General features: G+C 48.1%; 1 protein-coding gene across 15 annotated transcripts in view, besides 1 other annotated feature; it reads right to left on the reverse strand.

The window, feature by feature from the left end:
* Positions 1 to 14,933, reverse strand: part of SLC39A11 (solute carrier family 39 member 11) — a 446,740-nt gene that overhangs the window by 29,640 nt on the left and 402,167 nt on the right. The window lies entirely within an intron of this gene.
* Positions 10,870 to 11,370: an enhancer, noted in NCBI's record as "H3K27ac hESC enhancer chr17:70682597-70683097 (GRCh37/hg19 assembly coordinates)". NCBI's record gives its function as "activates a minimal SCP1, AML or CMV promoter by ChIP-STARR-seq in naive H9 embryonic stem cells {active_cell/tissue: H9 hESC(naive)}" and the evidence as "EXISTENCE:reporter gene assay evidence [ECO:0000049][PMID:30033119]".

Genomic DNA, 14,933 nt, shown 5'->3' on the forward strand with positions numbered 1-14,933 from the left:
GCACAGCCCTGGGAGTCCCAGCAAACTGGCTGAGAACTTGGGTCTCTAGTCGTTGCTCTGTGAGTGCTGCCAGTGTGTGATGCCCGGCGCCAGATGTCCCAATTGTGTGTGTAAGATGGTGTTTCACTCTTGTTGCCCAGGCTGGAGTGCAATGGCGCAATCTCGGCTCACCGCAACCTCCGCCTCCTGGGTTCAAGTGATTCTCCTGCGTCAGCCTCCTAGCTAGGATTACAAGCACGTACCACCATGCCTGGCTAATTTTGTATTTTTAGTAGAGATGGGGTTTCACCATGTTGGTCAGGCTGGTCTCAAACTCCTAAGCTCAGGTAATCCACCTGCCTTGGCCTCCCAAAGTGCTGGGATGACAGGTGTGAGCCACTGTGCCCGGCCCAGATATCCCAATTTACTTGAGGATCCTGCCCAGCCAAAGTCCTAAAGGTGGGTTACAAGCCCTTGTCACTCTCCTTCAACTCACAATGTTTCACACACACACACACACACACACACACACACACTTGCTGTATTAAAGCAACTCTCTTTTTTTCAAATAAAATGGTAATATGGCTATAAAGAAACACCTGCCTTATTTGCCTGAAACAGGAAATAATTATAAAAGTAAACATGTCGAAAGCAAAATAGAAATAGAGGGCTGGCATGGATGTGATGGAAACCTAGACACTGCGGGATGTCCAGGGAGGGACCCCAGCCCCTGATACCTTCTGAAGTAAAAATCCCAGAAGGGTGCCTTCAACAGAAATCTTAGATAATTTTTTTGAAGGCAGATGGAGAGAGGGTGGTTCCAAGAGCAAATGGGATCTGTAACCTCGATGATCACAACATTTCAATATGGTACCTGGGAAGTAGATGAAATTAGCACATCGAAAGAGCTGGTACACACTAGATGCTCAATAAATGCTACTGCTAGACTTCTTATCGTCATCACAATCAGCAGCAGCATGCAGAAAGAGTAAACATAGCAGGTGTGAGACTGCTGTCCTTAGAAATGTCTGCTTACAAAGTTGGCCCTTAGGCAGTTCCTGGGAACTTGAATGGTAAACAGTTCCCTACACAGATATAAAAATTCCCTAAATAAGAAGAGAGCCTTGCTGTACCTAAACAGTTTGTGCAACTAATATTGCTTACGTCAAATGCTCGCTTCACTTATGGAAGTCTAGACTTTTGGTATACGTTAGGCAGAGGGTGCCTATGTGACCAGTACCCTCAATAAAATCTCGGGCACTGGTTCTCGAATGAGCTTCTCTGGTCGACAGTATTGTGCGTGTGCCGTCCCACCTCACTGTTGGAGGAGTGAAGCCCATCTGGTGTAACTCCCCTGGAAGAAGATTCTTAGAAACTTGTGCTGGTGGTTTCCGGACTTTTCCCTGGGTACCTTTTTTCTTTGCTGCTTTTGCTTTGTAGCTTCTCACTAGAATACATCTCAGCTGTGACTATGTGCTGAGTCTTGTGAGTCCTTGTAAAATCACCAAACCTGGGTGCCTTGGGTAGCCACTGCACAAGCAGCAGCCGCAGTGGCTGAGGGTGGTGTCAGGTGGCTGGACCTAAGGGAAGCCTCTCTCAGAACCCATCACATCCTAGCACTGTGGATGGAAGGCAGCCAGCATTCCTGACCCTAGTGGGGTGGGAGTTGCAGGGCTGGGGTTGGAAGAGGCTAAGTACATAAAATCCAGGGCCAAAGATGACAGTGGGAACACAGGGACCAGCAAAAGAGGCACACAGGAGGCCATGGCCAACACCAGCTGGGCCCTGCTACATCACAGCAGATGCTGCAAGGAGAAAGGCCAACATCTGGTCAGATGCCACTCCTTTCGGGTCAGGAGATGGGACATTCTGAGAACCCAGATCTCCTTTAGGAAAAAAGAGAAGAGGGTGGGAGAATCTCAAATTGAATGCATCTGTAACCTGAACTGAGCAAATTTAAAGCCGGAAGTGACGCGGCCATCTTTAAATGGCATGTTTTTAACATCAGGGCAAATGAGGGTTTGTGAGTGAGGTTCACCAAGAGCAGTGGTTCTCAAACCCGAGTGTGCATCCGAATCACCTGGAGGGTTTGTTAAAGCACAGACCGTGGGCCCCTCCCCGGCAGGCATAGTATCCAGGAACACTTGGGGTATTGGGAAAATGAAGCTAGAAAGACTCCCTCAATTTTGGTCCTCCTCCCTAGAGAATTACTAGAACACAGCAGAGTAGAGGGCCAGGAATTGCAAGTAGAGGGCAGGATAAAGAAAATGTGGTACATTTACACAATGCGGGAGGGAGAGAAGGCTACCGACGGCCTTTCCCCTGATACTCAAGGTCGTCTTGGAAACAACGTCACCACCTACAAGCCCATCCAGTGCTCCCGTGTTCTCCTCTTAGTTTGAATACCAAGCTTAACCTGGCAGGAGCGCCCTTTCCCTTGAGGATCTCGGAAGACAGTCAAATGCATTCATCAACTAATATCCCACAAACAGAAGCAGAGGGTCCATGTTTCAATGGCATTTTGGGCATACAAAAAATTTATAACTTTCCTGAGCTCACAGCAAAGCTTCCCATAAAGGGCTGCCATAAATGGCAGTTTGGATGCCCGTTCCGCTCACAAAAGCCCATTTAACTCAAGTGTGCATAGTTTATAAGTATTTAAGTGCCTTGTGGGTTATGTAAAGCTTGTGGGGGAGTTCAGGAACTGAATCACCATTTACAACGTGTTTTTTTTCCCCCACTGTGGGAAAATACCTTCCCTGTGAACAGCGAGAAGGAGGGTACTAAAGAAATGTGTAAGAGATGGAAATGTGGAGGCTGGAGGGATGTTCTCCTTGCTTTGAAACTCCAAGAACATGGCCAGGCACGGTGGCTCACATCTGTAATCCTAGCACTTTGGGAGGCCGAGGCGGGCAGATCACAAGGTCAGGAGTTTAAGACTAGCCTGGCCAACATGGTGAAACTCCGTCTCTACTAAAAATACAAAAATTAGCCCGGCATGGTGGCGTGCGCCTGTAATCCCAGCTACTCGGGAGGCTGAGGCAGGAGAATTGCTTGAACCCAGGAGGCAAAGGTTGTAGTGAGCCGAGATTGCGCCACTGCACTCCAGCCTGGACGAGAAAAAAAAAAGAGAGAAACTCCAAGAGCATGCCTCATGCTCTTGGGGTAGCAATCATGAAGCAGTTTAGGGATTCATCGATTCACAAATAATTTCTGAGCTCCTAATCTCTCAGAGACGACATCCAGGGTGCAACAAAGAATAGTGCTTGAGGCTGTTCACAAGAGCCAAGACAGGGAGTCAACCTGTGTTCATCAAGAGAAAAATGGATAAAGAAAATGTGGTACATTTACACAATGGAATACTATTCAGCCATAAAAAGAATGAGATCGTGTCATCTGCAGCAACACGGATGGAACTGGAGGCCATTATGTTAAGTGAAATAGGCCAGGCACAGAAAGACAATGGTTGCACATTCTCACTCATAGGTGGGAGCTACAAAAGTTGATCTCATGCTGGTAGAGTAGAATGGTGGCTACCAGAGGCTGGGGAGGGAAGAGAGGAGAAGAGTGATCAAGAGGTGGGTTAAGGGGTACAGTAAGAATACAGTAAGATGGAAGGATCACATTCTAGTATTTGACAGTATAGTAGGGAAATTATAGTTAACAGTAATTTATTGTATGCTTCAAAATAGGTAGAAGAGAAGAATTGTAATGTTCCCAGTACAAAGAAAAGATAAACGTTTGCTGTGATGGGTATCTCAGTTAATCTGATTTGATCATTACACAGTGTCTACAGGTATGCTAAAAATATAGACAACAATTACCTATCAATTAAAAATAAAATAAAAGAATAGTGCTTGAATCCCTGTCCTCTGGCTGCTCAGAGTCTGAGATGCGCAGACACAGAGAAAGGCACTAACCCCCCAGGGAACCTGTTCTGCAGGAGGAAGGCAGCAGCTATTGGAACTTGAATAGAGACAGCCGCGCCCACCTCGGGCTTCTTCAAGGGCTCCTGGAGGAAGCTGGCCAGGTAAGGAGTTGAAGACCCACTGGAGGCAAAGGGGCCAACGTGTGTAGAGACATGTTGCAGGAGGTATTGATCTTGATTGGGCTGGGTGGCAGGTGGAGGATGGCCTGGTGGGAGGTGGGCTTAGAGGACACGTTAAGGATTTGTTAAAGAATTGTGGTAAAATTGGCTGGGCACGGTGGCTCACGCCTGTAATCCCAGCACTTTGGGAGGCCAAGGTGGGCGGATCACGAGGCCAAGAGATCGAGACCATCCTGGCCAACATGGTGAAACCCTGTCTCTACCAAAAATACAAAAATTAGCTGGGCGTGGTGGCGCATGCCTGTAGTCCCAGCTACTTGGGAGGCTGAGGCAGGAAAATCACATGAACCTGGGAGGCAGAGGTTGCAGTGAGCCAAGATCGAGCTACTGCACTCCAGCCTGGGCGACAGAGTGAGACTCTGTCTCAAAAAAAAAAAAAAAAAAAAAAAAAAAAAGAATTGTGGTAAAATTAATATAACATAGAACTCAGCATTTTAACCATTTATGAGGTGTACATTTCAGTGGTATTTAGTGTATATTCACAGTGTTGTGCAACCATCACCACAATCTAGTTCCAGAACATTTTTATCACCCAAAAGCAAATGCTATACCCATTAGCAGTCACTCCCCACCCCTACCGCCCTCAGCTCCTGGCAACTATGACTCTGCTTCTGTCTCTATGGATCTGCCCACTCAGGACAGCACATGAATATGATACGGTTTGGCTGTGTCTCCACCCAAATCTCATCTTGAATTGTAGCTCCCATAATTCCCATATGTCACGGAAGGGACCTGGTGGGAAGTAATTGAATCATGGGGGTAGGTCTTTCCCATGCTGTTCTCATGATAGTGAATAAGTCTCATGAGATCTGATGGTTTTATAAAGGGCAGTTTCCCCACACACACTCTCTTGCTGCTGCCATGTAAGACATGATTTTGCTCCTCATTTGCCTTCCGCCATGATTGTGAGGCCTCCCCAGCCATGTGGAACTGTGAGTCCATTAAACCTCTTTCTTCTATAAATTACCCAATGTCAGGTATGTCTGTATTAGTAGTGTGAGGATAGACTAATACAATAAATAAAACTACACGCATGTGGCCTTTTGTGTTGGCTTTTTCCACTTAGCAAAATGTTTCAAGGTTCATCCATATTGAATCATGTATTTGTATCAGTACTTCTTTCCTTTTACAGCTGAACAATATTCCATTGTATGGGTATGTCTCATTTTGCTTATCCATTCATCCACTGATGGACATTTGGGTTGTTTCTACCTTCTGGCTATTGTAAATAATGCTGCTGTGAACAGTGGTGTACACGTTTTCGGTTTCTTTGTTTGTTTTTTTGAGATGGAGTCCCACTCTGTTGCCCAGGCTGGATTGCAGTAGCACAATCTTGGCTCATTGTTAACCTTCATCTCCCGGGTTCAAGTGATTTTCCTGACTCAGCCTCATGAGTAGCTGGGATTACAGGCACACAACACCATGCCCAGGTAATTTTTTTGGGTTTCACCATGTTGACCAGGCTGGTCTTGAACTCCCGACCTCAGGTGACCCGCCCACCTCGGCCTCCCAAAGTGCTGGGATTACAGGTGTGAGCCACAGCACCCGGTCTACATGTTTTTGTTTGAATGCCTGTTTTCAGTGATGTTGGGCCTACTCTGAGGAGTGGAATTGCTGAGTCACAGGCTAAGGATTTCATGCTTAGGAGCATCATAGGAGCAGCTAGAGGCCATGTAAGTGAGGAGCTGCATGATTAGAACTGTGTTTCTAAGCATTGGCTATAGCTGCTGTGGGTGGAAAGTTGGAGGGAAGCAGGAGTGGCCAGAGGTGACAATAGTCCAGGAGAGAGACCAGTGGAGGCTGGTGGCAGGGGGAAGGAGAGAAGTCACGAATTGCATTCTCCTCATCTCTTTTGCTCCTGCTCTTCTCCCTATCACAGCCGCAGACATCTAGCCACAAGCGAGAAATAACCATTTTCCCTGCAGACATTTTCACATTCTGAAACAACGAGGGGTTGAACAACAACCCTTGAGCAACACAGGTTTGAACTGTGCAGGTCCACTTACATGTGGATTTTCTTCTGTCTCTGCCACCCCAGAGACAGCCAGACCAATACCTCCTCTTCCTCCTCCTCCACAGCGAACTCAGTGTGAAGATGATCCACTTCCACTTAATGAATAGTAAATATATTTTCTCTTCCTTAGGATTTTCTTAATAATATTTTCTTTTTTCTCATTTACTTTATTGTAAGAATACAGTATATAACAGGGGTCCCCAGCCCCTCGGCCACAGACCTGACCTGGTCCATGGTTTGTTAGGAACTGGGCCTGCACAGCAGGAGATGGGCGGCAGGCAAGCGAACGAAGCTTCATCTGTATTGACAGCCACTCCCCATCACTCACATTACCACCTGAGCTCCGCCTCCCATCAGATCAGCGGCAGCATTAGACTCTCAGAGGAGCACGAACCCTATCGTGAACCGCACATGCAAGGGACCTACGTTGTGATGATCGGTCACTGTCCCCCATCACCCCTAGATGGGACGGTCTAGTTGCAGGAAAACAAGCTCCTCTACATTATGGGGAATTGTATAATTATTTCATTACATATTACAATGTGATTGTAATAAAAATAAAGTGCACAATAAATGTCATGTGCTTGAATCATCCCGAAACCATCCCTCCCCCCACCCCAGTCCATGGAAAAATTGTCTTCCATGAAACCGGTCCCTGGTACCAAAAAGGTTGGAGACTGCTGGTATATAATACATATAAAAAATATGTGTTGATCGACTGTTTATGCTATTGGTAAGGCTTCTGGTCAACGGTAGGCTATCAGCAGTTAATTTTTTGGGGAGTCCAAAGTTATACGTGTAATTGACTAAATGGAACTGACTGTGTGGGGAGGGGGCCGGTGCCCCCAAGCCCCACATTATCCAAGGGTCAATGTAGTGAGCTGGTAAGCACAGCTGATTGTGGGCAAGACAGGTGGTTTTGAACTTCTTCCCAGCTGGACTATGAGAAACTCACTGACCCCCACAAAAAAAACTTTTCATGGTCTCTTTTAGCTCCAAGCCTCCATGATTTCTGTGGGAGGCTGTCCTGTAACCATCAGCTCTTCACCTCCAATCATGAAGTGGTTTCCACTGTAAAGGAAGCTGCTGATTCACGTGGAGACTCTACTATCTTCTTATCAGTCCTTTATTTATATAACTGTCTGACTTATGAGTCAATCTTTAGGACAGGATAAAAGTTCACATCTTCTCCCATCTGAATAATCTAAGACCTAGAACATTATCTTGAGGCACCCATTTTGTCAACAAACAAACAAAAAACAAAAATGCCAGCAAACCAAAGAAAAATGGAAACTGTCCACTTGCACCTCTTTTGAGTCCTCCTGCAAACTGGCATCTACAAGAGGAACTGTCACTCACAGCACCTTTACTGTCATGTGGCAAGGTATCAGTGGCTTCTGAAGGTGCTGCTTCATGCAGAATGTTTTGGGTGCCCCCTACATTCTAATTTACTACAGGTAACTGTTGGTAAAAGGCCCACTCAGACTTTCCCATGTAGCTGGTTCTCAATAGATCCTCTATGGAAGGAAAGAAGGAAGGATGAACCGAAAAATGGATAAAGTATACACCCCCATGGAAGAAGGAAGAAATAGATCCAATGTCATGATTTGCATTGGTTTTGCTGCCCCATTTCCTTGAGACTAATTTTTTTTTTTTTTTTTTTGGATACACGGTCTCGCCATCTCCTATAGGCTAGAGTGCAGTGGCACAGTCACGGCTCACTGCAGCCTCAACCTCTCGTGCTCAAGGGATCCTCCCACCTCAGCCCCTAGGGTAGCTGGGACTACATGCACACACCACCACACCTGGCTAATTTTTAAATTTTTTGTAGAGCCAGGGGTCTCACTATATTGCCCAGGCTGGTCTCGGACTCCTAGGCTCAAGTGATCCTCCCGCCTCTGCTTCCCAAAGTGCTGGTGTGAGCCACTGCGCCTGGCCTGAGGCTGATTCTGGCAGTAGTGAGGTCAACAGGGGATTACACACCCAATACTTGTGCCATAAAAGCTCCAACCAAGAGTCAAAGGGTTGATCTCGTAGAAAACTCTTTAGCTAAAGACAGAGCCAAAAAACCAAAGTGCAGCTCAAAGTCAGATGTGCTCTTAGACAGGTCCCCCGAGAGAGCTGGGAATCCTGGGACTCCATCACTTACATTTTCCTAGAGAAGTCTAAGCCCCTGGGTTCCTTTGGCAGTCTGGCAGCTTGGGGCTCTTCCCAGGCTGTTTTTGAAAGGGGGGAATCACCCTGCCTGACCCTTTTCCAACACTACCCATCTGACTCCTGCTAGTGGAGGGGCTCTTTAAGTCCCAGGGGAAGGGCTATTCAAGTGCTTAGAAGATTTTGCAATCAAACTTTCAAGGGTAAATATTTGCAGTGACTCACCAGAGAGGTTTTTCTGCTCTCCTTCTGGCCCCTGGGGAGCCACAGGGCTCTTTCCCCAGGTCTGTTAGCAGTTTACGATGATTATCCGTAGGCTCCCTGGACAGCTCATGAGTCAAGAGACTGGGTTCCCGTAACCCACTCCCTTGCCCGGAGGCACCTGGGCTCACCATACCAGAGGTCAGCAGCACATTTACAGCACCATAGCCTAGTAAAGTCAATGGTACAAGTGTCCAGCTTGTGGCCTGGAGGCTTTGCCCAGGCTCGTGGGACAGGCAGACAATTTACAAGGTAAGTAACACATCATAAAATTGAGCAGCAAACACTAATGAGCCTACAAGCCAGGACAGAGGACCTTTCTCTCCGACCAGGGAAACTGACACAGCCACTGTCCCAGGTTTGGGCAGGCGTGCCCTGCTAGCACCGACCACAGTGACCAAGGATAACGCATCGTGCTTTCCTCTAGACCCCAAGAAGCAACTGTAAACCTTGGGAGGCTTTCAAGAGACTCCCCAGATCAAGGGACCTTAACACTGTCCCCAAACTCTATTTGGCAGCTGGTTTATCGCGGCCACCACTATCATCCACCCCCATGATTATGACTTTGGTGAGTCTCTCTCCTGCTTCAAATCACAGATGTGGTCCCTGACTGAGGCTCACTCTGTTTGCAGAAGGGGACTACGGTGTCATCAGAGAGCTGGGGAGTGGAGGGGTGAGCTTCCTCAGAGTGTAGCTACAAGAGAAAGCATTTGGCTCTGCATTTGTTGGTGCTCTGTGTGGGTGCCCAATGGCTTGAAGTTGTCAGCATATCTGGGCACACAAGTTTGTCTCAGGCCCCCCGGGGGTTCTGATGACACGTTAAGCTCATAGGCCATGTGGCAATCATCCTGCAGAACTTTTGGTTCCGTCTGATCCCAGCTGAACCAATTCAGAATGGGCCAGACACAAGATACAAATGGTGCTGAGCAGGGAAATGATCATCGATTCAACTCCACTGAGTAGATGTTCGTCCATTTAGTTGGTAACAATTTATTAAGCATTCCTACATGCCAAGGCCCAAATTGGGTGCCGGGGACACAGGGGTGAATGAGACAGGGCCAGGCTCTTAGGAAGTTTGGGAGCAGACAGGTGGTATGCAAACAGATACCCCCACGCTGGACACTCTGCTCCGATGCTACGAAGGAGGCCACCTTTGGGAGCTGATGGAGAATTTCAGGGGAGGACCTCGTTTAGGAAGGGTGTTTAGAGGCGGACTCTTTGAAAAGGTGCAACTGCAACTGAAATTGAGATCTGAAGAATTAAAGGGGGAGGGGCGGTTGAGGGCAAAATAACTTTCTGTGCAGAGGAAAGAACAAGAACGAGGCCCAGCGATGGGCAGGATCTTTGTGTGTTCAAGAAACTTGAAGTCCTGTGTATCTGGAGTCTAGTAAGTGATGGGGAGAGTGAACTTGAATTTTACTTCAAACACAATAAGCCCCAAAAGGATTCATCTCAGGAACGTGGCAAAGGTCAGTTTTCATCTGACCTGGGTTTTTACCAGGTCCCCCTCATACTTTTTCTTTGGCTTTCCATGCAACACACAGATGCAACATGGTCATCTAGGATTAGGGAATGATTTAGGAATACAGGGACATTTTCTGATTTTGAAACAGCCCAATTTCCAACCTCTGCATCAGATCTATCCACAGGTGGGCTGTGCGTGGTGGTTCATGCCTGTAATCCCAGCACTTTGGGAGGCCGAGGTGGGAGGATCACTTGAGGTCAGGAGTTCAAGACCAGCCTGGGCAACATGAAACCCTGTCTCTACCAAAAATACAAAAATTAGCCAGGCGTGGTGGTATACGCCTATAATCCCAGCTACTCAGGAGGCTGAGGCAGGAGAATTGCTTGAACCCAGGAGATGAAGATTGCAGTGAGCTATGATCCCACCACTGCACTCCAGCTTAGGTGACTGAGACTCTGTCTTAAAAAAAAAAAAAATCTATTGACAGGTGGACCTCTTGACCCTTGACCTCCATCTGCAGGCTTGGTCTTGTCCCTAGGACCAATCTGGACTTATCACAAGGTACACTTAGGGGTTTTCCTCAACCCATAATGTGACACTCAACATCTGTTCTTTGTTGTTCTGCAAACAGTATCTCTATCTGCCTTTTTCCTGGGCTTGGACGAGTCCCTGTCCCCCAGGTCTGTTGCTGGCATGCTTCCAGCCAGATGCTGTGCTTTCCTAGGATTGGAGCCTCATCCCTGCTTCTGAGCCATCGTCCAGTGTCAGGAGTCTTGCTATGTGGCGACAGACCTTCCAGAAGCTGACTGGGGTCTGCCTGCACTTTCAAACAGTGCCTGATTCGGGATCCCACTGCTGTCCCGCTCCACCCGTCTCCTTACCCAGCATGGCTCTTGGCTCGTTCGTGATAGTAAAGACAGGTGCACCACACCCTGCCTGGGCCCTTCCCTCCAGACCCCCCTCTGCTTGGCAGGTGGAGCTCCCTCTCAACATCTAAAACTGTTCTTCTGTCCAGTGAGGGGGCTGAGTCTCAGGGCCAGGCCTCTGCCCGTCTCTTCCCCAACCTGCTGCTGTGAATGCCCAGCTATGGCCCAACGACATGCTAGCCTCAGCGTGTGCTCCACAGGCAGGAATCAGGGCATATGTTCAAGTTTATAAGGGGCCTATGAAAAAAGAGACTGCCAGCAGATTCCCTATTAAATGGGCTTCCCTTGCAGTAAAAGATTTAAATTAGAGTATCTTCTAAACAGGGGCGTAATGGGACCACCACAGGTCATTTAATCCATCCCTCTGCCACTTGCCATTAAAGGAAGAGCATGCTTGTGTCACCTGCTAGTCATCACCTAGACATGCTAAAGAAATATACAGACTCCCAAGAGGCTTCCGAATAGCTATTTTCCAAATTAATCAGGAGGGGAATTCTTTTCTTCAAATAAAGTCCTTTTTTTTAAGTGTTTTAATTTTGTTGCTGTTGTTGAGACAGGGTCATGCTCTGTCACCCAGGCTGGAGTTTGGTGGCACAATCACAGCTACTATAACCTCAAACTCCTAGGCTCAAGCCATCTTCCCACTTCAGTCTCCCAAGTAGCTGGGACTACAGGCGTATGCCATCATGCCTGGTTAGTTTTTTTAAAAAATTTTTGTAGACACAGGGTCTCACTACGTTGCCCAGGCTGGCAAACTCTTGGGTAGGAGCATTTTTTTTTTAGACAGTCTCGCTCTGTTGCCCAGGCTGGAGTGCGATGGTGCGATCTCGGCTCACTGCAACCTCCGCCTTCCGGCTCCTGCCTCAGCCTCACGAGTAGCTGGGACTACAGGCGCGTGCCAACACGCCCAGCTAATTTTTTGTATTTTTAGTAGAGATGGGGTTTCACCATGTTAGCCAGGATGGTCTCGATCTCCTGACCTCTTGATCCACCTGCCTCGACATCCCAAAGTGCTGGGATTACAGGCGTGAGCCACCGCGCCTGGCCAGGAGCATAATATTGAAAACAGATGAGAGCAAAGCTTTGCTCCTCACACCCACCATAAACTGTAGAACTCTGTGGGAGGCTGTTTGAAAACCATTGCTGAAAATACAGAGATCCTAAGATGTGGGGCAAATAGACTCCTGTGAGGAGGAGGCATGGAGTAGGGAAGGTCCATCATGCTAATAGTGTTGAAGCTGACAAAATCCTGGCAGCAGCCGCCTTTGACCAACAAGCATATGCCAAGACCCGGCTGGATGCTCTATAGGTTCTATTGTTGAACCTGCAAAATCTTTGCCAAGTAGGCATAATTATTCCAATTTTTCACATGCAGAAACTGAGGCTCTGTGGCATACAGTGACATCTCCAAGGCCACACACCTCCTGGAGAGCCATAATTTGAACCTCGGAGTGCCCCACTGACAGCCAACGACACCAGAGGGTCCCTTTGTATGTAAGGATTGCATGACTCCAGTTGAATGACCCAAGCCGGGGACAAACAGGAAAGAACCCAGCAGCTCTGGAGGCCACTTGAGCTGACTGTCAAATGCTCTGGGCTGATTAACGACTACGAACTTCAGGGAAGACAAGTGTGCTTTGATGCCACAGAGCTATCCTGGGCCTGTACAGGCCCGTTTCTGCTCTGAATGAGGAAGCTGTACTTTGCAGGCACCCGGCAGAACAAGAATAGGGCCTAAGATACCTGAATGAAGGGCACAGAGGAAGTACAAAATACAGTCATTGTTGGAGCTAGAAGCTGGTGCCAGGCTACGAGGGGGCCCAGTGGCCAAGCATTATGGCAGGAGAGAGATGTGAATATTTTCCAGGCAAATAATGCAGCTTCTCTACCTGGAAACCCTGCAGCCGTGTCATGCTGGACAACCCCCTCAGTCCAGGCGAGGCCAACTGGCGACTGCCAGGCCATACCATGTGTGCCTTCAGCTGCCCTCCACTGGGGACAAATGCCTCCTCTGAGCGATCCTCTTCAGGAAGTGGAGGATGCAGTGGCTGCTCCCCATGTGTCCCCCATGGCTCCCCAAGTTTAACAGGACTTCAGGTGGCAATGGGAGATCCTTAGGGCATGAGCAGTTCACATATACTTTTCACAGTAGTTTCCAGTCGTCAAATTACTTCACATAGGGTAAGGGATAGTTCCAGGCAAACTTAATGTAGCAGCAGGACCTCAGGGGAAAGGGTTCGCTTCAGTGGGCATCAACTGGTCTGTGCAAATCCCTGGAACCAAATTGCTGTCTCTGATGTAGAGGGGTCCAAGAAGAGGTGAGAAAGGTCAGGTTCCCCCTGGTGGGTAGACTCTGGGGACTCCAGAAATATGGCTGCAGCTACTCTAGCTCTGACTTTGTTCAACAGGTGCAAATACCAAGGTGATTTGTGACATCTGTCTATTCACACCCCGCAGGCTCTGGGTACCTCTACTCCCCAAGACAACTGGTGTTCTGTTTCCCCCCACACTGCCCAGGGCCCCTCTTGGAGCAGGTACCTGAGGTGGGCCAGCCAGTCATCCCTGTCCTGTCTCCTGTGCCATGGACCCCTCCCGAGCCCCTTGCCAATCAAAAATCCGGTAAATATTTGGTGTCCTCTGCACAGTGACAGCCTTGTAGGTGGCTGGCCCGATGCTCGACTGTACTCAGTTTCATGCTAGAGCGTTAATAAGTGGTTCTAAATGCAGTCGAGAAGATAAAATCTCACCTCCGCTCACTCTCCCAAGATAGGGAGGAGGATTTGCCTTTTCTAAGAAATTAACCAGCCCCTTGAAAGTAATTGTTTGAAAGCGTTCAGCTGGGTCTATGTGCAGCTATAGAGGTCATGGAAGGCCCGATGGGGCAGTTTTGAAAAGTGGGGAGAAGAGACACAGAATTACCATATAAGTCAGCAATTCCACTCCTGGGTATACACCATACAGAAATGGAAACAGAGACTTAAATACACACTTGCACACACCTGTTCATGTCAGCATTATTCACAATCGCCAAAAGGTAGAAACAACCCAATTGTCCATGAGCCTATGGAGGGTCAACACAACGTGGTGGGCATGTAGGAGAATATTATTCAGCCGAGAAAGTGAATGAAGTGCTGATCTATGCCACAATGCAGATGAACCTCAAAAACATCCATGCTAAGTGAAAGCAGCCAGACACGAACGGTCACATATTGTACGATTCCACTGACATGACATGCCCCAAACAGGCAAATCCATAGCAACGGTAGATGGATTTGTGGTTGCCAAAGGCTGTGGGGGGAGGGAGAAGACAGGGTGGCTGCTTATGGGTATGGACTTTTCTTTTGGGGTGATGAAAACATTTTGGAAGATAGAGGTGGCAGTTGTACAACATTGACAGTACTAAATGCCAATAAATGGTTCACTTCCAAGTGGCTAATTTTACATTATGAAAATTTCCAAAGTGGGGGATGTTCAAAGAAAGCCTCCTCTCCACCGAGCGCTGTGTGAGGGGATCATACACTCCACTGGGAGGGGGCCTTGCAAGCTGCAGGGAAGCCAGGAAATACTCTCCTTCCTCCTTCTGGGGAGCGTGTGTGATCCAGGAGTGACGCGCTGGGGCAAGCGAGGCCCATCTGTACCCAGGCTGGTGGCGGGGCTCAAGAGCCCAGGTGAGACTGTCCCATGGGATGGGGGTACCAAAGCTGCCACAGCAGGACTTCCTGAAACTTTGAAGGCATGTGCCTGTGTTGGTGTTGGGATCTGACAGCTGGGAAGAGGGGATGAAACCAAACCTCCTCCCAGGGGGACGTCCTGGTGAGGTTTCCTAAAAACAAGTTAGGAGTCAGAGGATACACGTCGGAGAATTCCCCAAGGGGCTCCTGGCTCTCAGAAGAAGGGAGAATATTGAAGTGCTGGGGGTACTCACACGGGGTTTGGAGGATTAGCTTCTCGGGTACTTTTCCCTTGGGATATGAAAAGGGAAACTGAAACAGATAAACACGTACTTGTACACACATGTGCATGGCA

The sequence above is a fragment of the Homo sapiens genome, chromosome 17 (genome assembly GCF_000001405.40).
Source record: "Homo sapiens chromosome 17, GRCh38.p14 Primary Assembly".
Classification (NCBI taxonomy): domain Eukaryota; kingdom Metazoa; phylum Chordata; class Mammalia; order Primates; family Hominidae; genus Homo; species Homo sapiens.